The 26,851-nt window shown below is 36.8% G+C and overlaps 1 protein-coding gene and 1 pseudogene across 11 annotated transcripts in view; one reads left to right on the top strand and one right to left on the bottom strand.

The window, feature by feature from the left end:
- HORMAD2 (HORMA domain containing 2) overlaps window positions 1–26,851 on the bottom strand; it is a 129,725-nt gene that overhangs the window by 66,673 nt on the left and 36,201 nt on the right. For 10 of the 11 annotated variants that reach the window (XM_047441154.1, XM_047441156.1, XM_047441155.1 and 7 more), the window contains 3 exons: window positions 21,737–21,804; window positions 18,995–19,152; window positions 18,570–18,820 (listed from right to left, as the gene is read on the bottom strand). In XM_047441154.1, coding sequence (XP_047297110.1) covers window positions 18,570–18,820; window positions 18,995–19,152; window positions 21,737–21,804 — 477 coding nt within the window. Of the gene's footprint in view, window positions 1–18,569; window positions 18,821–18,994; window positions 19,153–21,736; window positions 21,805–21,865; window positions 22,029–26,851 lie in introns of those variants that run through there. The other variant, XM_017028626.2, reaches the window with a different exon arrangement.
- On the top strand, window positions 3,386–4,154 carry RPS3AP51 (RPS3A pseudogene 51; annotated as a pseudogene).

The following is a 26,851-nucleotide window of genomic DNA, read 5'->3' as shown; positions in this document are numbered from 1 at the left end:
AGACATTTATGATATGGAGAATTAAAAAATAGTGACAATCAGTGAATCCAAAGCCTGATTCTTTGAAAGATCAACAAAATTGACAAACCTTTAGCCAGCTTGACCAAGTAAATAAAAGACTAAAATTACCAGAATTGGAAATAAAAGACCAGATATTACTGCTGACCTTACAAAAATAAAAAGCATTATAACAGAATACTATGAACAATAATATGTCAATAAATTAGATAACTTAGATGAAATGGAAATTGCCTAAATTACACAAAATACCAAAACTGACTCAAGAAGAAATTGAAAATATGAATATATCTATAACAAGTGAAGACCTTGAATTAACAATTTTTAAAACTATCCACAAAAAGAAAAGCCCAGTCACAGATAGCTTCACCACTAAACTCTACCAAACATTTAAAGAAGAATTAATACTAACTCTTCACAAACTCTTCCAAAAAGTAGAAGATAAGTAAAAACTTTTCAATTCATTTCTCTCTCTCATGCACACTTTTTCTTTTTTATTTTTTTGACAGAGGCTCACTTTGTTGCCCAGGCTGGAGTGCACTGGCGCTATCTCAGCTCACGGCAACCTCTGCTTCCCAGGTTCAAGCAATTCTTGTGCCTCAGCCCCCCAAGTAGCTGGGATTACAGGTGTGTACCACCATGCAGGGCTAATTCAACTCATTTTTATGAAGCCAGTGTTACCCTGACACCAAAACCAAAGGCAACACAAGAAAACTACAGATCAATATCTCTCATGCATTAGACACAAAAATCCTCAACAAAATACTAGGAAAACATCTAGCAATATAAATACACACACACACACACACAGATACACGTACACACAATGATAAAGGGGGATCTATCTCAGGAATGCAAGCTTGGGTTAATATCTGAAAATCAGCTAATGTAATACATTATATCAAAAGAATAAAAAGCAAAAATCACATGATCATTTCAAGAGATGCAGGAAAAGCATTTGACAAAATCCAACACCCTTCCATGATTAAAAAAACACTCAGCAGACTAAGAAGGGAACTTCTTCAACATAACAAAGGGCACCTAAAACAAAAACCCATACCTAATGATGAAAAATTAGATGCTTCTCTAAGATTAGGAACAAGACAAGGACGTCTCTTCACTTCTATTCAACATTGTAATGGAGGTTCTAGCCAGGGCAATTAGATAAGAAAAGGAAATAAAAGGCATCCAGATTAGAAAGGAAGAAGTGAAACTATATCTATTTGCAGATGGCATGCTTTTGTATATAGAAAATCCTCAGGAATCCTCTAAAAAAATTAGGATATAGAAAGTAATCAGGAATCTTCTAAAAAAAACTATTAGAACTATTCAACGAGTTCAGCAAGCGTATCAGTCAGGGTTCTCTAGAGAAACAGAACTAGTAGGATGAAAAAATATATATATAAGTATATATATATGTAGAGAGAGAGACAGGTTATTTATATATATATATGTATGTAGAGAGAGAGAGACAGAGGATATATATATATATATATATATATATATATATAGTACAGTTCATATATATATATAAACACATTTATTATAAAGAATTGGCTTATCCAATTATGGAGGCTGGCAAGTCCAATATCTACAGTGTGAACCAGCAGGCATGAGACCCAGGAAAGTTGATGATGCGGTTCCAGTCTGAAGGCCAACAGGCTAGAGACCCAGGAGAGTCAATGGTGCAGATGAAGTCTAAGGCAATCTGCTGGAGCATTCCCTCCCGCTCAGGGAGGCCAGTCTTTTTGTTCTATTCAGGCCTTCAACAAATTCAATGAGATCCACACACATCATGGAGTGTTAGTTTTACTTTACTCAAAGCAACCTGCTTAACTTAAAGTTTACTGATTTAAATGTTAATTTCATCCAGTAGCACCCTCCAAGTTGACACATAAAATTAACTATCCTACCAAGGTTGTAGAATACAAAATCAGTATACAAAATTCAAAAGTATTTCTATATACCTGCAATGAATAATACAAAGATGAAAATTTATTCCCAAGTATTTTATTCTTTTCATGCTATTGTGCAGTTCACATACTATTCACATACTATTATGAACAGTATGAAAAGAATGCTCATGAATAAATTTAACAAAATAAATACAAAATTTATAATCTAAAAACCACAAAACATGGCTGAAAGAAATTAAAGAAAATCCAAATAAATGAAAATGGAATGGAAGACAATATTTATAAATTGTATATCTGGTAAGGAATCTACCCAGAATATATAAAGAACTCTTACACCTCAGTAATAAAAGGACAAATGACCGTTTTTAAAATGGGCAAAGGAAGCTGGATGCAGAGGCTCATACCTGTAATTCTTGCATTTTAGGGGGCCAAGGTGAGAGGAATGCTTGACTCCAGGAGTTCGAGACCAGCCCAGGAAACATGGCGAGACCCCATCTCCACAAAAATATTTTAAAAATTACCCAGGCATGGCGGTGCACACCTATGGTCCCAGCTTCTCTGTTGCCTAGGCAACAGAGCAAGACTCTGTCTCAAAAAAAAAAAAAATGGGCAAAAGATCCGAATATACATGTCTCCAAGGAATATATATAAATGGATAAGAAGCACATGAAAAGATGCTTGACATCATTAGTCATTAGAGAAATACAAATTAAAACCACAATGAGGTACCACTTACTTTGCACCCACTAGGATGGCTAGAATCAAAAAGTGAGACAATACCAAGTGCTGGTAAGGATGTGGAGAAATTGGAACCCTCATACACTGATGTTGGGAATGTAAAATGGTACAGCCACTTTGGAAGAATTTTGGAGTTCTCCAAATGATTAAACACATATGACCCAGCAATTCTATTCCTAGGTATATATCCAAGAAAATTAAAAATAGATACTCAAAAAGAACTTATATACAAATGTTTATAGCAGCATTATTCACAATAGCCAAAAGGTTGAAAGAACCCAAATGCCCATCACTAATACATGGATAGACAAAATGTGGTGTATCCGTACAATGGAGTATTATTCAGCCATAAAAAGGGATGAAGTAATGACACATGCCATACATGGATGAACTTTGAAAACATGATGCTGCCCTTTTGGCTGAAAAGCACATGGTAGTTGGCAAGAACAAGCACTTTATGAAAGGTGGCAAAAGCAAGCCAAGAAGAAAGTGGTTGATCCATTTTATTTCTTTCTTTCTCTCCCTCCTTCTTTTCTTTCTTTCATTTTTTATTTCTCTCTGTCTCTTCCTTTCCTTCTTTCCATTCCCCCTCCCTCCCTCCCTCCCTTCCTTCCTTCCTTTTTTGAAACAGGGTCTTGCTCTGTAGCCCTGGTTGCAGTGCAGTGGTGTGATCAACAGCTCACTGCAGCCTTGACCTCCTGGGCTCAAATACCTTGACCCATTTTCTAAGAAAGATTGGTATGATGTGAAAGCACCTGCTATGTTCAGTATAATAACTATGGGAAAGACACTCATCGCCAGGACTCAAGGAATCAAAATTGCATCTGATGGCCTCAAGGGTCATGTGTTTGAAGTGAGTTTGTCTGATGTGCAGAATGATGAAGTTGCATTTAGAAAATTCAAGCTGATACTGAAGATGTTCAGGGCAAAAATGCCTGATTAATTTCCATGGCATGGATCTTATCTGTGACAAAATGTGTTCCATGGCTAAAAAATAGCAGACCATGATTTAAGTTCACATTGATGTCAAGACTATCAATGATTATTTACTTTGTCTGTTTTGTGTTGATTTTACTAAAAAATGCAACAATTACACATGGAAGACTTCTTACAATTGACACTAACAGGTCTGCCAAATCCAGAAGAAGATGATGGAAATCATGACCCAAGAGGTGCAGACAAATGACTTGAAAGAAGTGGTCAATAAATTGATTCCAGACAGCACTGGAAAAGACATAGAAAAGGCTTGCCTATCTGTTTATCCTCTCCATGGTGTCTTCATTAGGAAAGTAAAAATAAAGAAGCCCAAGTTTGAATTGGGAAAACTCATGTAGCTTCATGGTGAAGGTAGTAGTTTTGAAAAAGCTACCAAGGATGAGAAAGGTGCTAAAATTGAATGAGCTGATGGATATGAACCATCGGTCCACGAATCTGTTTAACATTCAGACTTTTAATAGTGTCAAATTAAAAGCCCTATTTGTGGAAAAAAAAAAAGAAGAAGAAAAGAAAACACAATGTTAAGTGAAAGAGGTCAGTCACAAAATTCATCATAGTATATGACTTCATTTATTTGAAATATATCATAATAGGCGAATCTGGAGACAGAAAATAGATTAATGATTATTTAGGACTGGGGGAGAGGAGAAATAAGACAGGAAGGTGAAAGCTAAAGAATACGGGTTTTTTTCAGGTGATGAAAATCTTCTAAAATTTTGACTGTAGTGATGGTTGCAAATCTCTGTGACTATAACTAAAAACCATTAAGTTGTACATTTTAAATGAGTGAATTGCATGGTAAATAAATTACATTTCAAGCTATTAAAAACAGAAAAAATGTTGTACAAATAGAATCAAATAGTATGTAGTCTTTTGATTCTGGCTTCTTTAACTTATCATGCATTTGCAACTCACCCATGTTGTTGCATGTTTCAGTAGTTTGTTCCTTTTTGTCTTAAGTTTATCCATTCCCTAATTAAGAAACACCTAATTGTTTCCATACTTTGAAGATTATGAATAGAGTTGCTGTAAACATTTGCATACATTTTTGTGTGTAAACATAGGCTATCATTGTACTTGGTATAACAGCTGTTTTAAAGTCCTTATCTACTAATTTTATCATTGCTGAAATTTCTGGGCTTGCCTCTACTGACTGGTGTCCCTCAGGTTATGGATCAGTTTTCCTGCTGCTTTACATATCAAGAAACTTTTATTAGATTCTGAACAATAAGAATGTTACATTGTTGAATGTTTGAATTTTGTTATCTTTCTTAAAAATTGTTTTGGCAGGCAGATAAGCTTGATCCTTTTGAGGCATATTTTAAAACTTTATTAGATTAAATCTGGAGGGTTTTACTAAAAGTTTGGTTTAGCTCTACTGCTAACATGTAACCCTTCTGGAGTCTCTATTGAATGTTCTGAGTGTTCGAGAAGGGCTCTCCATTTGACTGGTAATTATGTGAACATCTCCCATCCCTGTGAGAGCTCTGGGAATTGTTAAGTTGCCAGTTTTCTTTGTCCAGGCTTGTGGAGTTTTGACCCACACCTGAAAAGCTGAATATTAAAAGACTCAAGGAACCCCTATGCTGATTTCTGGATCTCCTTCTCTGTATAGTTCCCTGCCCTCTGATATTCTGTTTCCAACTGCCTCAGATTCCCCATACTCCAGTCTCTTTCTTCGACTCAGCAAGACTGCCATGCTCTGCTTGGGTTCTCTCTCCCTGAACCAGTGGTCTGGAAGGTGCCTCCTAGCAGGAAGCTAGGGCAATTTTAAGACTGGTCTCACTTTTCTTCTGTCAAGGATCCCATTCCTGTGTGCCTGTTATCTAATGTCCAAAAACAGTTGCTTCATATATTTTGCCCAGTTTTCTAGTTGTTTACAGCAAGAGGGTAACTCTTACATTACTCTTTCATGAGTGAAAGTGGAATTTGGTCATTCTAATATAGGGTTTTTACCTCTCTTCTGAAATTTTACACGCTCTCCCCTACATAGGTGAATATATGATTTAACAGGTTGAGTATGAGTTTTGGAGCCAGACAGACCTAGATTGAAATATTGATTTTGATGCTCTCTAGTTGGGCAACCTTGGACATGCTACTTAATGTCTTTGAACTTCTGTTTCTTCAGCTATAAAATATCACGCAAAGTTGTTGTTGGGATTAATTGGGTTCACAAATATACACAGCCTTTTGTGGGCACTTAATAAATGGTGGCTATTATTATTATATAATAAATAGCTATTTGTTTGTTTCTCTTCCTCTAATCAATTTTGAATCAGGGATTTGGCCCATTCTTCTTTGTGTACACTACCCTCCTATGATGACTCAAGCATAGTAGGCCTCAATATAAATTTATTGACTGAATAAATGCTGATAACCTATTGTTGATTAGAATATAGTAGAACTTTTTTTTTCTTTTTTTGGTGACAGAGCAAGGCTCTGTTGGTACACACACGAGATTATGCTTGTAACAAATCTAAGCATCATAAGAGGAGTAATTCTTTTAGCATTTATATTAGGATCTCAAAATTGAGAGCTAAGACTTCAGAAGACCAGTCCTTCTGACAATGGTAAAGAAAAGTTAGAAACACAATTGGCCTCATTTTCTCCTGGATTTGGCAGACCTGTTAGTGTTAATTGTATATATATACATATATATAATATATTTATTTATGATTATACTTTAAGTATAATCATAAATATATATATTTATGATTATATATATATAATCATATATATTATATGCTGGAGTGCAATGGTGTGATCTCGGCTCACTGCAACCTTCGCCTCCCGGGTTCAAGTGATTTTCCTGCCTCAGCCTACCGAGTAGTTGGGATTACAAGCATCCGCCACAATGCCTGGCTAATTTTTTGTATTTTTGGTACAGACAGGGTTTCACCATGTTGGCCAGGCTTGTCTCGAACTCCTGACCTCAGGTGATCACCCGCCTTGGCCTCGCAGAGTGCTGGGATTACAGGCATTAGCCACCACACCTGGCCCCAGTAGAACATTCTTTTAAACTTTCTTCACAATGAGCTTCATGTAGCCTTGTTTAAATGTCAAAATGATACCTTTAGTGATAAAGTTTGTTTGTTCCAACTTTGGTCATCAAAGCAGAAAGAGCCCTCCATTGGGCAGAAAAAAAGCACACCTAGGTAGTGGCTCATAAAGTATACAGTCATCCCTCTGTATCCATGAGGAATTGGTTTCAGGGCACACACACTCCACACCTACAGATAGGAAATCTATGGATGCTCAAATCCCTTATAAAAAATGGCACAGTATTGGCATATAATATGCACATCCTATGTACATATTCCCATGTATATTAAATTATCTCTAGATTATTTATAATACCCAATACGACATAAATGCTATGTAGTTATACTGTATTGTTTAGGGAACCATGGGGGACAAGAAAAAAAGTCTGTACATGTTCAGTACGGACCCAATCATCCTTTTTTTTGTTTTTTGTTTTTAACAGTTTAAACCCACAGTTGGCTGAATCCACTAATGCAGAACCCACAGATACAAAGGGCCAATTGCAAACCACCATGGCATGTGTATACCTATGTAACAAGCCTGCATGTTCTGCACATGTATCCCAGAACTTAAAGTATAATCATAAATAAATATATTATATATATATGTATATATATACAATTAACACTAACAGGTCTGCCAAATCCAGAAGAAAATGAGGCCAATTGTGTTTCTAACTTTTCTTTACCATTGTCAGAAGGACTGGTCTTCTGAAGTCTTAGTTCTCAATTTTGAGATCCTAATATAAATGCTAAAAGAATTATTACTCCTCTTATGATGCTTAGATTTGTTACAAGCATAATCTCATGTGTGTACCAACAGACAATTTAGCATCAAATAGAAAACTTTAACACACATAATGGTATTAGGAAAATCAGCCAACTGAATATAGTTATAGGAAATTGGGTAACATTATCATTATACTTTTTTCCAATGTGCAATTGAATAAAATCTCAATGAAGTCACTTTGAAAAAAATCTGAGTTTAAATGAAACCTAATATTTCATTGATTTTGGTGTAATGATAACATTGTATTATTAGAGGCATCTCTTTTTTAACCAAACAGAATATTCTGTCTTACTCTTTTTTAAACAAAATTTATTTATTTTAATGCTAGGGCTTATTAATTGTAACATCCAAAGCATTTCTACCTAAGATTACTCACTGTGTTTGACTTTTTTTTCTGCTATAATACATATCAGTATACTTCTTTAATGTGAGTGAAACATATACAGATAATCAGTGTGGCTCTTCCTACTCACAAAAGGAAAGAAGTAATTCTCTGATGTTATAGAATGATTCATATAAAAAAAGAAATGACTTATAAGACTGATGGGAAAGTCAACCAACTTTCATTCCTCTTTGCACAGTTAACAGAGGATAGCAATTACATTCTGGATTGCAAAACAGAAAAATTAATTGGAAATAATTTTCTGTTTGACAAAAGGAAACTTAATGAAAAGGACTAGAGTCTCATGATGAAGAAAGAATGATGTGTGTGTGTGTGGTTTTTTGGTTTTGTTTTTTTTTTTTTGAGACGGAGTCTCCCTCTGTCTCCCAGGCTGGAGTGCAGTAGCCTGAGTGATCTCAGCTCACTGCAACCTCTGCCTCCCAGGTTCAAACGATTCTCGTGCTGGCTAATTCTTGTATTTTTAGTAGAGACAGGGTTTCACCATGTTGGCCAGGCTGGTCTTGTACTCCTGATCTCAGGTGATCCTCCCGCCTTGGCCTCCCAAAGTGCTGGGATTATAGGCATCAGCCACTGCACCTGGCCTGATGTGTGTGTTTTTTTAAGGCTGGATATTTTCTGCAAATAATGTGCCTCTTCCAGTGCTTTCAATAATCTACCCCACTTCCAAGAATCTGAGATATTCTTGCCAACACTATGTTGTATCAAAGAAGGCATATATGCTTCAGGAGATGTGATGCTATGAAAATCATCAGACTATACCTCAAAAAATGCAAAACTTCAGTTCAGAGTTTAGTGGGAGACAATAGGTTTTGAATGAAAAGGCTCTTGTTTTAATCTACTATCTGAAATACAAAGCAATTCTAAGGAATTCAGAAAAATACCTTTCTAGTCCACACGTAAATGCTGCTATTTACCGTGGAAACAATGTACTTTACATTCTAATTTCTTACAAATAAATCATTTACTTTTTAATTAAGTGTGTTGGCACAAAAGAAATGAGCTTCATGGAGGGAAAGAATACATCAGGTAAACTACATATTGTTATAATTTGTGGATTCTTTTGTGGAATTCATAAAAAAGAAAAAAGCTATCTTAAAACATTATTTTTAAATTGAAATAAGATGCAGAAATCCAGGCAAAATGCAAACCATTTTTATTACACTTAGAAAATAGTGTAATAGAGTGTGTATGTTTGGGATATGCTTAAAAAGCAAACCATTCTTTGTAACTAAATCAAATGATAAACTATTGAATAAACTTTAAAAATACTTGTGGCTCTTATAAGAAAACAGTATTCTCTGCCTTTAGCTCATCCTCAAAAAAAATCATTTGTATGAATTATTTATGCTTCAGTGAAATTGATATGTTACAGATGAAAAAAATGCCATTCTGGATCAAGATTTCTAGTTACAAAAGAAAGGCCTAGAAAAAAGCCTTGTAGAGAGTGTCTAGCAACTGTATTTGGAGGTATAAAGACACATAAGTATTTCAGAAAATTAGAAAATTATAGTAGACCCCTGCCTAAAAATATGGTTAAAATATTAATTCTCAAAGAACTATAATGACTTAATAAACTGGAACAATTAATCTCCAAAATAGACCTGGGCCAACATTAGCCCTCCATCTTTTTATCACTGTCTGTGTAAGTAATTACTAGAATTTTTTAAGGAGATTGGGTTAATTATTTCTACTAGAAAGAAGTACTTTTTCCTTAGCATTTAAACAGCATAAATTTAAGTAAGATTCTACAACAAATTACAGAACATATGTTGATTAGCACCATATAGGTCAGTTCTTTGAAGAAACCTGTCTAAGGATCTTTAGGGGAAGTTGTCTTCAGTGTGTATGTCTACTGCTATCTGCCCAGTTGTCTATGACAGGGAAAAAAAAACAACTTCCCAGGGTTATGTGAAGTGCTTTTGTGTTTGTGTAGACTTAGTAGCTATAGCTTAGGCCTAAAACACCCCTATTAGGAAGGAAGACCTGGCCAGGCATGGTGGCTCTTGCCTGTAATCCCAGCACTTTGGGAGGCGGAGGCAGAGGCGGGTGGGTTGCTTGAGCTCAGGAGTTGGAGACCAGCCTGGGCAACATGGCGAAACCCTGTCTCTATAAAACATATAAAAATTAGCCAGACATGGTGACACGCCCCTGTAGTCCCAGTTACTCGGGTGGCTGAGGTAGAAGAATGGCTTGATCCCAGGAGGCAGAGATTGCAGTGAGCCGAGATCGCGTCACTGCCCTCCAGCCTGGGTGACAGAGTGAGACCCTGTCTCAAAAAAAAAAAAAAAAAAAAAAGAAAAGAAAAGAATGAAGACCTGTCCTGAAAGTGTGTGGGGGGCAGATTAAATGATAAGGACACAATTAGGACAGCGTTTTTCAGACAGGCTTACTGAACCCTGTATTGTCCCGGGATTCCTTGGACAATTCCAACGTTCTATTTTTCAAGTGGAGTTAGGTTTTTAGAGTTCTTATAATTTAAGAATTCCTAAGTTTCAAGCATATGTGCTTTTACAATTCTGAATCCATTGCCAAATTATAATCTCACTTTCACATTATTCCTTGGATCTTAAGAATCACACCAGAAAGTGAATAGCACAATTACTGAATAATTTCAACCATTAGTAGAAACTCTGTTATATTTGCCTTTCTGTGACTGAAATAAGGAATTACCTGAAAAAGAAAATTGTATTAAAATCTTTCTATTTTCAACGGTCTCACAACAAGATGATTGTGTTAAATCCCTTCTTTACTATAGATCATTGGTAGAAAAGCAGTGTAAGCTGTTTGATCAAAAATTTATAAACTTTCTATTTTAATTTTAAATAAAATTTAAATTACAAATTATTTTTAAAGTTTTAAAAAATCTTTGAGTTAGAGATTACCAAGAGTAAAGAAATTTCAGCAAAGCCATGTAGGATACAGGAAAGGCGTGGAACATTCAGTATTGTAATTCTAAGTCACAGAGACAGAATTTCTGATGCTACCATACTGGACTTTCCAACTTGCCTGGAATGTCCTCTGCCATGATCACTGCCAATCAAAATATGATTCATCCACAAAATCACCAAATCAAGCTAGGCATGGTGACACATGCCTATAATCTCAGGTACATGGAAGGCTGAAGTGGGAGGATTGCTTGAGCCCAGGAGTTCAAGACCAGCCTGGGCAATGTAGTGAGAGTGCATCTCAAAGAAAAAAAAAAAATCACCAACTTAATGAAACTTTCCCACACAGTACCAATTTATCCTTTTTTCTGTAATCCTAGTACTTTGGAGTTCAATTGCCTGGGTTTGAATTCTGTCCCTGTTACAAATTCACTATGTATGGAGTCTTGGGCTAATTTCTCTGGCTCAGTTTCCTATTTGTAAAATGAAGATAACAATAGTATCTACCTTATAAAATAGCTAGGAAGATTGAAAGTGATAATATATGTAAAGCTCTGAGAGTGCTCGAAATTGTTAGTTAATATTATTTCTATCATTCATATACTCTCTAGTATTACCTTTTTATTACATTATGTAGGTGTTATCTCTTCAGCCACAATTCTAAAGGGCACAGGCTATATCTTATATGTCTTTATTTTCCTCACAGTGCTTAGCAGGGCATTATTTATTCTCTCTCTCTCTTTTTTTTTTTTTTTTTTTTTTTTTTTTTTTTTTTTTTTGAGATAGAGTCTCACTCTGCCACCCAGGCTGGAGTGTAGTGGCACGATCTCGGCTCACTGCCAGCTCCACCTCCCGGGTTTTTGCCATTCTCCTGCCTCAGCCTCCCAAGTAGCTGGGACTACAGGTGCCCACCACCACGCCTGGCTAATTTTTTGTATTTTTAGTAGAGACAGGGTTTCACTGTGTTAGCCAGGACGGACGGCCTCGATCTCCTGACCTTGTGATCCACCTGCCTCAGCCTCCCAAAGTGCTGGGGTTACAGGCGTGAGCCACCGCGCCCGGCCAGGGCATTATTCTCTTAATAGGGATTCAAAAAATATCCCAGACAATCTTAGCATGAAAGATATCTTAGAGGTCAATCTAGTTCAACCTTCCCTCTAAATCATGATTTTACTTTTGCAACACCCTAATCATATACTCTATCTTGAACACACGTGTATATCTGCACTTGAGCACAGCTGGTGACACTGGAGCTCACCCCCACACAAGGCAACCAGGTTTAAGTAGTTATCATTGTTAGAAAATCCACCCTGAGGAGGTGGAGAAGCTGGCAGCTTCTGGAAAATGATTTGGTACTACTCATTTGAGAGCCATACAAATGTTGAAGCTCTGTAAATTTCACTCCTGATACTATATTCGTAGAAAAATTTTTTAAATGCTTTCATGTGTGCAAAGGTATTTATTATAATACTTTATAATAGCAAAATCAAGAATTAACCTAAATGTTTCAAAGTAGGGAAATGGTAGAGTGCCTAAATAAAACAAGAAGTCATTAAAATTAAAAATATAAAGATTAAAGTGGAACATATTTACAAAATCAATAATGTTAAGTATAAAAGTAAAATAAATTCACATATACCATGATTAAAACCATATACAAATATATAAATCAATGAAAAAATACTGGAGAGGATGGGACATATAAAAATAAAAACAGTATTGATAGGATGGTGGGACGGCGGAAGATTTCCATTGGTTTTTAAATTACTTTAATGTTATAATAACATTGCTTTAAAATTTGTAAAGAGAAAATTCTTCCTTCTATTGAGCCAAAATCAACATAATTTTCATCTACTGGTTCTCATTCTGCCCTTTGCAATTACACAAAATAAATCAACTTAAAATATTTGAAATATTTGAGTGCCTCACTCTCTGGCACCCTGGAAGACAAACTGGAGAGGCAATGATGACATCAAAGAGACCCAGTTAGAAGACTCAACTATCACCAAGAAAGCAATGATGACATCCTGAATCAGCACAGTGGTAACAGCGCTAGATTTGAGAAATACTTCAAAGGCAAAACACATGGAAATGGTGTACCAAAAGAATGTAGAAAGTGAGGAGAAAATAACAGTTGAACATATTCCTGGTTGGGTTGCTTAGAAAAGTGATGGTGCAATACCAAGATAAGGAACCTAGGATGAGGAAGTGCATGTTTGGTCAGAAGTTAAAATTCCATTTGAAGATGTTGAATCTAAGGTACCTGTAGGATATTCATGTCTATACATTTATGGAAGTACAATTTGGAATCAGAAAGACAAACCAAACCAGAGAAATAGAAAAAGACAAAGATGTGCCAGGCGTGATGGCTCACGCCTATAATCCCAGCACTTGAGGAGGCCAAGGCCAGCAGATGGCTTGAACTCAGGAATTTGAGACCAGCCTGGGCAACATGAAGAAATCCTATCTCTAAAACAAATACAAAAATTAGGCTGGGCGTGGTGGTTCACACCTGTAATCCCAGCACTTTGGGAGGCCGAGGTGGGCGGATCACGAAGTCAGGAGTTCGAGACCAGCCTGACCAACATTATGAAACCCCATCTCTACTAAAAATACAAAAACTAGGTGGGTGTGGTGGCACATGCCTGTAATCCCAGCTACTCAGGAGGCTGAGGCAGGAGAATCGCTTGAATCAGGGAAGCAGAGGTTGCAGTGAGCTGAGATCGGGCCACTGCACTCCAGCCTGGGCGACAGAGCGAGACTCCGTCTCAAAAAAAAAAAAAAAAAAAAAAAAAAAGAACTTCTGTTTATAAAACACCTCATTAAGAAAACAACTCGTAAGGTTGAAGAAGATATTCACAATACATGTATCCAACAAAGTACTTATATGCAGAATATATATGCAGAGCTCCTACAAATCAGTAGGATTGAAAGACAATCCAAGAGAAAAAAAGGCAGGGTAGGAGCAAACAATTTGAACAGATACTTCACAAAAGAAAATATTCAACATGGCCAATAAACATATAAAAAGGTGCTCCTCTTCATTAGTTAAAATTAGTTTAATAAATTAAATTAAATAAATTAAAACAACAATGACATACCACAGCACACCCACCAGAATGGCTAAAATCTTAACGATGGAAAACGCCAAGGGTTAGTGAGGATGTAAAGCAACCACAACTCTCATACATTGCTGGTGGGATTGTAAATTGGCACAAATACTTTGGAAACTATTTTGCACTATCTGTTAAAACTAAATATACACATACCCTTTGACCCAGCAATTCTACTCCTAGTAATTCTATTCCCACCAGAAATGTGTAGTTATTTCCCTAAAAAACATGTTCCAGAATATTCAAAGCATTTCTATCCATCATAGACAAAAATTATAAATTATCCAAATTAACATTAGAATGAATAAATTGTCATTAACAATAGAATGAATAAATTGTCAGGATGGTCTACAACAACATGTAAAAATATGGGTAAATCTCACAACATAATGTTAACTGAAAAAATGGTCCATACTCGGCCCTGCGTGGTGGCTCACACCTGTAATCCCAGCACTTTGGCAGGCCGAGGCGGGCTGATCAAGAGGTCAGGAGATCAAGACCATCCTGGCTAACACGGTGAAACCCCATCTCTACCAAAAATACAAAAAATTAGGCGGTGTGGTGGCGGGCGCCTGTAGTCCCAGCTACTTGAGAGGCTGAGACAGGAGAATGGCGTGAACCCAGGAGGCGGAACTTGCAGTGAGCAAAGCAGAGATCGCACCACTGCACTCCAGCCTGGGAGACAGTGGGAGACTCCGTCTCAAAAAAAAAAAGTCCATACTCTATGATTCCATGTCTATAAAATAAAGAGGAGAAACTAATCTATGCGAATAGAAGTCAGGATAGCAATATTCTTGTGAGCAGAATAGTGACTGTAAAATAAGACTGGGGGTTTCTCAGGGTCTGGAAGAATTCTATTTCTTGATCTGAGTGCTGATTTCACATATTTATTCAGTAGGGTTGTGACAAAGACAAAGCAAGCAAGATGTCCAGGGGGCAAAATGTAAGGAGGTCCTTACTCTTGGCACCTGAGATCTTCCTTAAAATATGCTCCCTAGGCACCTTGCTTGCATCACCCTCATCCCAGCTCTAGTGTTCAGTTTGTGAATATTTATTGAGCTGTATCACTGATACATATGTTTTACTGTATGTTTATTATTCTTGAATTTAAAAGTGTTAAGAAAGTCTGGTCTATTTCACTCCATAAATGAAAATAAACTTTAAGTGGATTATAAACCTAAATGTAAAAAGAAAAGCATTAAAACTTTTAGAATAAAATATGAGAATATTATTAATGACCTTAGGTAGAGGATTTCTTAAGGATATCCAAAAGCACATATTAAAGGAAAAGATTAGACTATATTAAAATTAAAAACTTACATTGCTCAAAAGACCTCTTAAAGAAAGTGAAAGATGAGCCAGGCACAGTGGCTCATGCCTGTAATCCCAGCACTTTGGGAGGCTGAGGCGGACGGATCACCTGAGGTCGGGAGTTCAAGACCACCCTGACCAACATGGAGAAACCCTGTCTCTACTAAAAATACAAAATTAGCTGGGTGTGGTGGCACATGCCTGTAATCCCAGCTACTCAGGAGGCTGAGGCGGGAGAATCACTTGAACCCAGGAGAAAGAAGGTTACCGTGAGCTGAGATTGTGCCATTGCACTCAGGCCTGCTGGGCAACAAGAGGAAACTCTGTCTCAAAAAAAAAAAAAAAAAAAAAAAAAAGAAAAGAAAAAGAAAGTGAAAAGATGAGCCACAAACATGAAAAAAATATTGCAACATAAATGAGTGAAAAAGAATTATTACTAAGCACATATTTTTTAAACCATTGAGGAAAAGATAAATAACCTGAGAGACAAATGCATGAAAGACATGAACAGCTATTTAATATGAGCAAAATAGGATGGCCAAAGAAAAGATGCACAAACACACAAATAATCAGAGAAATTCAAATTAACATCATGAGGCATTACCATTTCATATCTAGCAGACTGGCAGGAAACATAAACCCTGACAATAAGTGTTGGCAAGAATGTAGGGTACTCTCCTTCACTGGGGGTAGCGAGTAAGTTGGTACGACCACTTTGGAAAACAGTTTTGCTTTACCTAATATAGTTGAAAATACACAAGCCTAGAACTGTTTCATATATTCCCAAGAGACACTCTTTGACAGGTGTACCAGGAGGTATGTACATGAATGTTTATAGCAATTAAAAAGAATGTCTATCAAGAGTAGAAAACTCTACAGCAGTGAAAATGAAAGAACAATAACACAATGGCTAAATCTCAACTTTGAAGTTCAAGCAAAAGAAAATTAAAGGAGAATACTCAGAGTATGATTACTTTGATATACAAATTTAAAACGAGTAGATGTACTCATCCATGGCAAAACTATAAAGAAGAGCAAGGAAAGGTTATCATGAAGGTCAGGAGAGTGGTTACCTTCAGAGGGCGTGCAATGAGGAAGGGACACGTGGTGGCTTCTAAGGGAGTAGCAATGTTCTACATCTTAGCCTAAATGGAGGACATATGGATGTTCTCATTATTCTTTAAACTGTACATATTTTTATGTAGTCTATTATATGTATATCTCAAAATAAAATTTTTAAAAGAAATAAAGATTCTACATATGTATACACATGTATGTATGTGTGTGTGTGTGTGTGTGTGTGTGTGTGTGTGTGTTCCATGTATTCCATGAAGGAAAACAAAAAGGAATCCTTAGTGGGAAAGTGACAGTAACCACTTTACTAGACTTACTAAATTCTCTCATATGTTTGGCTGGCTGAGAGAGAAACTTCAATCAACTAAGTTTACCACAAAGTCCATATAATACATATAGTTTCAACTAAATGTATGCTTGAGAAGGATTATCACATTTCTTATTTAATCTATTAGTTGAACTATGCGTTCTTAGGTTGTCCTGCTTTCATTTGATTAAAAAAAAAAAAGAAAGAAATTCTTAATTAAAAGGTAAAAATCTAACCAGGTGTGGTGTAATCCTAGCACTTTGAGAGGCCAAGGCAGGAGGATCACTGGAGCCCAGGAGTTCAAGATCAGCCTGGACAACATAGGGAGACCCTGTCTCTAAAAAAAATAAAAAATAAGCTGGGTGTGGTGGCGCACACCTATGGTTTCAGCTACACTGGAGGCTGAGCTGAAAGGATTACTTGGGCCCAGAAGGTCAAGGCTGCAGTGAGCTGTGATCAACTACTGCACTCCAGCACTCAAGCCTGGACAACAGAGCAAGACTCTTTCCCTAAATAAATAAATAAATAAATAAATAAATAAATAAATACCTAGCTGAGGCCCAGTGTGGTGTCTCATACCTGTAATCCCAGCACTTTGGGAGGTCAAAGTGAAAGGATTGCTTGAGCCCAGGAGTTTAAGACCAGCCCTGGTAACAGTGAGACCCTTGTCTCTACAAAAAATTAAAAAATAAAAAATTAGCCAGGTGTGGTGGCATGTGCCTATAGTCCCAGCTACTCGAGAGGCTGAGGTAGGAGGATTCCTTGGCAAGCTGAGGCACCAGTGAGTCATGGTTGCACCACTGTACTTCAGCCTGGGCAACAGAGCGAGACCCTGTCTCAAAAACAACAAGAACAACAACAAAAAAAACTAGCTGAAACATTCTTTTCTTAACCTTCATTTTTTTTCCCCTTTCTATGTTAGCTATATCTTCCTTGGGTGAAATTGGAAGAGGAAAATTGCACCAAAATCCAAAGTCATTTTTATGTCTAACATCGAGAAAGCACTAAAAATTTAAAAACAATCTGTTACTTGTTTGGTTATATTATTTACATTAATTGAATTAAAACTAGAACAACTAGAACCTCTTTTCAATGTATTAAACATAATACAGAGTTAAAGAACTAGAAGGAACCTTCAGAAGTTACCTAGTACAGTCACCTATCTTTAAATAAGACTCAAATTATCTTAAGCAAACAAGTTATCATTCTAATCTTAAAATATCTCCTGAAAAGATCTTATAGCATCCCTTCCTACTGAAAATTTTTTGTCTAACTCAGAACCCTTTTAACACAATGTTGTCATACAGTTAACATTATTATCCAGACAACCACCAGTTAAGGGTGTGGAGTTACCTAGGGCATAATGGGACCCTAGCAAGAATCTAACTCCAAGTCTCTATTGGTGGAAATGGGAGGATAAAGGGATCAGAGACCTGACTGTTTGGCTCCACTAGCTCCAACCCCACCAACCCCCTGACTTTCCCCAGTGAGTTAGCCCCAAAGCTTGTCTTCCTCCACATAACCAGAAGTTAACTATTATTTGTTTTCACGCTGACTCGGGTTTATCCATAAAATTTATCTTCCCCAACTCCTCCCATCCAATTATCTCAGTATCAAGAACTGATTTATACTTCCAATGAGTATGAATAAATACCTAGAATATTTTTCAACCCTAAAATTATGTCATTTACAAATAAAGGAAAGAAAACCTCAAATTTTCTAAATTTATGATATCTTTAATAAAATAAATATATTAGAAAATCTTTTTCCTCCTAGTTATGGACAATTTCATCTGATAAAGTATATTTCCTTTTAGAAGATTAAACTTTTTTAGATTAAAAACTCCTTGATGTCAGAGACTAGTTTTGTTTCAGTTTTTATAGCTGGCACACTCCACGTGCATGCCCTGGGTAGAAACTGAAAAATATCAATTGTGTTTAACTGACACGATAGAAAATCTCTAAAGCTTTGCCTTACATGGTCATTGCATTCTTCTTCCTCATCACAGTCTAGACCCTGATGGGCGATCTCAGTAGTGCTGTTCTCCCGAAACAGATTGTTCTCCAAATCAATCACTTTTGTAGCCTCTGTCATGACTTTTACTTTCATGCTATGAAAGCCAGTGGAGACAAATCCCACTTGCACGTTGATAGGCTCCTTGTCAAACAGCAGGAAGTGTGAATTTACCCCTTCTTTAAAACCGAGGGGTTGGTAATCATGTGGGGTCACTGCGAAATGAAAAGGGCAAAAAGCCATGAAAACTGAGTTTCAATACAACAAATCCGATTAATCTTTCATGTGTAGCAACAGACTTCTCTTTCAGATGCCTGCAAAATCCTTTTACTTATAGAAAATATTAGCTCAGCACTTAAGGAGGAATTTGCCTAAAGTTCTCTACCTACCTGCATTATAGTAGTGGAGTTTCATAGTAAGTACAACATTATTAGGAAGTGGCTCAAGGTCCTGCATCAGTATATACAATTTACGGATCAGTAGAACACTGGCTTTCTTAATATCTTCATTGTTTGTTCCACTTTCAAAGCTTGTACTGCTGCTATGACTACACAGAAAAAAAAGCATACTTTTTGATCATATACAATAGTGGCAATCTATCCCAAAAGGAACAAAACTTTTGACTATGTGAGTAAATATAAATTAAACATTAGTATATTTTGAGACTTTTTTAGAATGTAAATTAGGGGAGCGATGGTACTTTTTGCAATGTATATACAAAGAATTTCTTAAGTAGCAAATTCCCTAAAAGCATTTAAAATACGATCTTTTTAAAAATTTGATTTGAAAAAAATCATATACCACAACAGTAAGAACAACGAATTTGGAATTAGGTGACCTGGCATCTAATATCAGCTCTGCTGATAACTAGCTGAATGACCTTGGTCAAGTCATTTAGACACACTCTAGGTCAGTTAGCTCATTTGTGAGATAAGCGTAAAGACATTTCTACAACTCTCAAGCATAAAATCAATCACCAGCTCTGGGACTTTCTACCGTCTGATTATCTCGCAAAAGTATCCCTTCCTCACTCTTGCATTGATTACTACAGTGGCTATCTAACTATTTTTCCTGCTTTCCTTCTTGTCCACACTACAAAATATTCTCCATATCACCGCTGAAATAATATTACTAATAGGAAAATCTGTTCATGTCACCTTCTTACTTAGAATTCTTCTATTATATCCATCAGTTTTCAATCAAATTCAAAGACAGTGTGTATACAATTCCTTTCACAACCCGTCATATCCTCACCTCCATCCTCATCTGCAGCTATTGCCCAGTTTCCTCTCACTCAAAGTATTTGCATATGCTGTTCACTTTGCTTGTACTGTGCTTTTCCACTTTTCTTCCTGACTGTCCTAAATTTATCCTCTAATACCTAGCTCATGCGCAGACTCTTCAAAGAAGTCTTCTCTGATAATACCCTCATCTCATCCTCAGGATAACTATTTGTCCTTCTCTAGACTGTGAGTGGCTATATCTTTCATCTCCACAGTACAGAGTTTGGTGCCCAGCTATTCAATCAACATTTGTTGAATTAATGAATGAATGAACAATTTGGACTAAATTACCTTCCAATTCTAAACTTTGTTCATTTATCTCCAAAGTTTCCTTCCACAATTAGTCTCACATTTGAGTAGTTTCCAGGAGGGACCATGACTATAATATATTTACACATGGCTGTGCACATAGTTAGCTCTTAATATGAAAAATAACCCTAAGTAATTGAAATGTTGGATTTTTCCCTAACTGATCTTTGGAGACAGTGTGAATTCATGAAGCAAACATTTATTAAGTGAATACATTAGCTCCTTTTCCAATTTTGAACAACTTAAAATTCTGCCAACCAGGATTTAACCAATTCAAATGTAGGTAACCAGAATGAAGGGCTATAGATATGTAGCTCATGGGAGCCTCCAGGACACATCAGTAAAATCATATTCAGGACTCCCATTTAAACAAATGCCTATATTTCTTCTCTAGGAAATTAATAATATGCATCACCTTCTCTCCTTAGCATGTGAAAGATTTGGCCATTTTTGTTTTACAGCTTACCTCTTGGCATATGTGCCTTCAGAACAAAAGAGTTTAATCTGGCCATCAGTGTATATTTTTGAGTTTTGGAGAGTAAAGGTAACTTTTTATGTGAGAAAACGTGTATGAAAAGTGCTGCTGTATAAGCTGTAAAGTATTATACAAATGTTAGCTAATAAAAGGTAATATTTTAATTCTCATTTTTGGAACTGATTTTCTCTTCACATTCTAGTGCTGTCTGTAGGTTTTACAAATGGAAGGATAATCAAGGGAGTGAATCTTGGAGAAAAGTCCTCAAGCTCATGGCAAATGATGAGCCAGAGCTAATAGTAGGGAAAATTGAAAATTAGGCCATGTCTCTCATCAGTCTTTCCTTTCAAGGGCATCCATCCCCCTTACTTGGATTCCTCTACTATCCAGAGCTTTTCACCATCATCTGTACCTTCCACTACTGTGCCATCTCATCAGCAATACTTAGCTCTCCATCCCCCCTGGCAGGTCTGAATCCAAAAGCTACTGGGAGAAAAATAAACGTTGCTCTTCAATGTCCTTGTGTTTGCTATTTAACCCATTAGTAACCTAAAACTTGGAATTTTCGACTTCATAAGGAAACTGCAGTGCTTTCTAATCTTTTCATACAAGGACACAAGGAAATGATATTTATATGACATACTGGGGTAAGCAAATGAGAATATTTGTGCATACGGGCAAATAGTCCAAGGGTATTATCTACCCTAGGCACAGGCTGGCTATATCGAGGTGGAAAGGATCGCTATCTAGGCATAGCAGTTGAGAAACTTTGAATTAATGGCTAGACAGAGCCTTATGGAGTTATTCAATCAATAGCGTGTAGGCAACCTTATTGACATAATTTCTACCTTTGTGCTGCATGCCATTTTCTCTATTCCCACCAGCTTAATCCATGGATTTCAGGAATGTAAACAATTGTTGCAGCCCCTTTTTATAATAGTGGTTTTCTGTAGGGTTTGTGGGGAAATGTGTAAAGAAGTATAAGGCCTTTCTCTGGCCTCAAGAAGCTTATGTTTACCTCAATCCTATTTATTTCTCATGTTCATTAAGCAGTTAGATTCTACCTGTCAAAATCCATAGTGGCTCCTTCTTTCGTGTATTTGAATTTGAACTGGTACATCTCAGTCACCTTCTACAAAAACCAAAGGAAATAAAGAAAAAAAAGAATTTAGAAAAGAAATCCAGAATCTTACCTGATCATAAGTAAGGAACATTTTCACTGTATATCTACTGTACTTCCTATATAGCTGTTTGTTTCACAGTATCACATTATTCAAGAGTAATATTTCCAAATATAAAGACAACCTAGTTTTTCTCCTCCATGCTAAAAATAAATTAGATGAAAGATACTATTATTACCATTTTAAAGCTGGAAAAACAAAATCACAGAGTCAAATATCTAACCAAACTAGGTAAACAACAGTGGAAACAGTTGAGAAACCATTCATTCATGTAACAAATATTGTATTGAATGTCTACTTTGTGCCAGTCACTGGAGTCACAGCGGTGAACAAGACAGAAAAGGTCCCTGTTTTTCTGGAATATACATACAATCCAGTAGGGGAAATAGTCAGTAAATAAGTAAACAAATGAAATAAGCTAATTCCGATAGTGTAAGTGCTGTGAACAAGAAGCAGATGCTGTGATAGAGAGGTACATGAAGGGGACAAGTGCTGCTTTGGTTTGGAAGGGCCAAGGAAGGCCTTGCTGAAGAGGTGAGGTTTGAACTGAGCCTCAAGGGTCAGTTATGTGCAGATCTTGGGGGTGGGGTGCCTCAGGCAGAGGGAACAGCAATGCAAAGGCTCTGAAGTGGGGAGGGATGCCTCTTCTAGGGTCAGAGAGGAGGCCCAGTGGCTGGAAACCAGTGAGCGAGGGGGAGAACCCAGGAAATGAGGTGATAAAGGAGACTATGGGGCCTTGTTGGCTATGGTAAGGGGTTTGGATTTCATTCTAAGTAAGCTAGAAGTCTACGGAAGAGTTTTAAGCAGGTGAGTGATTTGTATTTTTTAAACATCATCTTGGCTCCTTTAAAAGTGCAGAGGGGAAGAAATAAAAACCATGAGAGCAATTAAGAGTCTACTGCAGTAATTCAGGGAAGACTATAATGGCAATAGGAAAATTACAAAAATTAGAAAAGGAGCCCTGATCTCTGATATCAAGTCTTGTTTTTTCAGTCCTGCACTGAAAACTAGATGCTACTACTGCTATCTGCTCTCCTCACTGTTAAGAAAACTAGAAATAAAGAGGGACAAATTTCCTCATAAGAGATAGATTCCATTTAAAATAAAATGAATGTCTGGCTGGGCATGGTGGCTCACGCCCATAATCCCAGCATTTTGGGAGACCGAGGTCATTTTGGCAGATCACCTGAGGTCAGGAGTTCAAGACCAGCCTGGCCAATGTGGGAAAACCCTGTCTCTACTAAAAATACAAAAATTAGCCGGGCGTGGTGGTGTGCGCCTGTAATCCCAGCTACTCAGGAGGCTGAGGCAGGAGAATCGCTTGAACCCAGGAAGCAGAGGTTGCAGTGAGCCTAGACTGTTCCTCTGCACTCCAGCCTGGGTGACAGAGCGAGACTCCATCTCAAAAAATAGAATAGAATAGAAGGAAAGAAATAATAAAATAAACTGAAATATAAAAATAAATAAATAAAATAACTAAATTAAATTTTAAAAATAAATAAATAAAATAAACATCTAGTAGTTGAAGCAAATGTTTGGCCCAGATATGTCATACAGTATGTCCACAGAGCTGGAGAAGTACTAATGACAAGTAAACAGTATAAGCTCAAAACAGAACACAAAAAATGTCCTTTATTCATCTGGTTCAGTATTTGATCCTTGACAATGTGAAAATGAGGATGTCAGACTGATCAGAAAAAGTCTCAGTGTTTCTGTTACTTTAAGCCTCCCAGCTCTGCTGATCTTAAACCTTAACATGAAACTTAATTACAGGTGATCAGATCTTGGGAAAATTGGCTCATGATGCTTAAACTCTAAGGAGATTGATTTGTAATGGAGTTAATTTTAAAAGATAAAAGTATTTTCTGAATAAGACAGCCTACTTGAGAAATCAAATCAAGTTCAGAAAACTGCTTTGTAAATACAATAGGAGAGACAGATGAGATTAGAGGAGCCTATAGCAACAGGTTCACTCCAGATAGGCGAGATGAACAGAGTCCTCTCTTAGCCAATGCTGGGTGTAATTGCTCTGCCAAGCAAACAATGCTCATTCTTCCTGCCTGCCCATGTTTCTCAATCAACTCTAGCTTTTTAATGCTCTGAGTGATCTTTTGTTTTTTTAAATTGTAACAAGAGTAGGTTGTTTTAGTAGTTGATAATTTTATTTACACTTTATTATTTGATCCCTGAAGCAACTAATAAAAGAGTTATAGTTATAATTGTTTTACAGAAGATGCTAATCCTTAATTAACTTCAGTCTGACTCTGGCTTATCTAGGAAAGTATATTTACAGCAGGCACTATTCTTAACACCTCATATAACACTTTTCAGACTAATGTGTTGCCTAATAAAGATGAACCATTGAACTGCTCATCAGTGGTTTCTATGAATCATACTAAATATAGTCACATAGGCCAAAGCAGCAGCAACATATGCAGCCTCTCCTTCTCCCTCCACATTCCAACCCATTGGCAAGACTTTTCAGGTCTATCTCTAAAGCAAATTGCAAGTCCATCTGATGCTCATTCTCTGTTCTGCAGCCAAAAGTAGTTTTTGAAAATACAAATCAGACCATGTCACTCATTTTCTTAAAAACCCCCATTAGCTTCTCACCACCCTTAAAATAAAATCCAAAAGTTATCTTGATTTGCAAGGCCCTACCCATCTGTCCCCTGTCTGCCTCTCTAACCTTATCTCTGGCCACTTTCCCTTGCACTCAGCTAAGCTCCAGGCTCATGGCACCTTTTCTATGCTCAAACACCCAAGATTCCTTCCTGTCTTAGGGCCTTTGCACAGCTATATTCTGGAACATGTGGTCTCCGGTTAATGATAATAATAATATTCAGGCACTGCCCTAAATATTTCACAAGTTCATCTCCTTGTGTAGCCAACACTCTGAAGTAGACATTAGTCTCATTATTGATGTAGCTAGTAAGTGGTAGAACTGCGATTTGACGCCAATGCCTGTGATGTTAACTGTGGTGTTATTTGGCCTGTCACATGCCATTGCCCTTCACAGACTTGCATGGGCTGACTCCTTCTGGTTATTCATCTCAGCTCAAACAGTAGCCTCTCAGGGATGCCTCCTAGGAACTGCCCAATCTAACACAGCCATCCAATCCCTCCTTCTTCATTCTCCACTTCAGCACTCTCTAGTACATCACCTGTTTAAAAAATTTTCTTCATAGCACTATGTCTATCTGAAATTGTTTGTACTAATTTTTATTTATTTATTTATTGTTTATCCTACCTCATAAGAACGTAGGCTTCTAGAGAGCAGGGATCTTGCCTATCCCATTCACCCCTGTGTTTTTATACCTTGAACAGTGCTAGGCACATAAAAGGAACCCAATTAATATTTGCTGAATGAATAAATATTTGGCCAAGGTAGAGTTCATGCTTACTTAGGATTTCATCCTACAACGATTTTTTTCTAAAATAAAGTATCTAAAAGTATATTGTGGCTAGAAATGGACACTACTTATAGTTAAGTTTATGAGGCAATCTATTAAAGGTGAGTGTTGGCCAAGTGCAGTGGCTCACACCTGTAATCCCAGCATTTTGGGAGGCTGAGGCAAGGGGATCCTTTGAGACCAGCCGGGGCAACATAACCCCACATTTGCAAAAATTTTAAAAAATAACTGGGCATTGTGGCGAACAACTGCAGTCCCAGCTACTTGGGAAGCTGAGGTTGGAGGATCGCTTGGGCCTAGAAGGTCAAGGCTGCCATGAGCCAAGATCACACCACTGAACTCCAGCCTGGGTGATGGAGGGAGAGCCTGTCTCTTAAAAAAATAAAAAATAAAGAGTATTGATCACCTCCAATGGTAAACAGGCACAAAGGAATAGATAGTGAAACCATAAGATTTATGCCTTCACCATATTCATATATAATAATTCTATATGGTCTTATATGCATTAAGCTGTGTAAATCTTATTTACATTTTGGCTTACATGTTTTACTAATACTTGCTACTCATTTTGTAGTGTGTTCCTATAGAAAAGCTACACTATCACTCTTCACTACTTTAGTACTTAGTTTACTTAGATGCTTAGTTACTTTCGTTGGTCATCTCTTTCATGAGATGGAGCAACCAGAACAAAACTTATAGCACAGAAGTACCATAACTTTGTAGAATGCTGAAAACTCAGTTGGCCTTCTGAACTAGGGACACACACTTGTTTGATTTAAGCCAGAGGTTCTCAATTGTTATACCATGACATACTCTTCACAAGAGTGCTGCAAATTTTAATCCAACTGTCTAGTGTATTTTTGCTTCAGGCATATATAAACATTGTTATTGTTTGTGCAATTTTGTTTAGGAAAGGATATACTTCCAGGCATATAACTCAAGAAACATGGCACAATATGAGATGAATGCCAAAGACGATGTTTATGTTAGAATGTTGTTTTTGAGTACATAAGAGAATGAGATCAGGGAGCTAAATAGTTTTATCAGTGACTTGATGCTAAATAGCAATCATAAAATAATGTAACTTGTGGATGCTTTTTAGGCCCTATGAACATTGCTATACCACAGTAGTAGTTACATTGTAATTATTACTGATTTGTTTGGGCTCCTTTGAGTGTTTTAGTATTACCCAATATGCTACTGAATTTTTTAGTAATAAAAAGTATACCATGAACACGTAGAGGTTAGGCATCACTATCTACCCATAAGGGGAACACTCTGTAAACATTCAAAATATTTTTTCCTGGGTCATAAATGATAGCTCAAAACTTACCACATAACCAGCTTTTGTTTCCTAACTTCATTATTATATATGCCTGCATTTCTTCCCACTCTGTAATACTTTTTTTGTAATTAAACTCAACTTGCTTAGCATTTCACTACCCCCAAAAAACACTGGTTTCAAACTAGGAAGTTTTCATGCATAAGAAAACATGATAAATACTACACTAAGAAAATGATCAATTTAGTAACTATCAGAAGGTTTTATTTTGGGAAACTTCCCTTCAAACTTACAGTGTGGTGG

Source organism: Homo sapiens, chromosome 22 (assembly GCF_000001405.40).
Source record: "Homo sapiens chromosome 22, GRCh38.p14 Primary Assembly".
Taxonomy (NCBI): Eukaryota; Metazoa; Chordata; class Mammalia; order Primates; family Hominidae; genus Homo; species Homo sapiens.
This window is presented reverse-complemented; position numbering and strand designations above follow the sequence as displayed.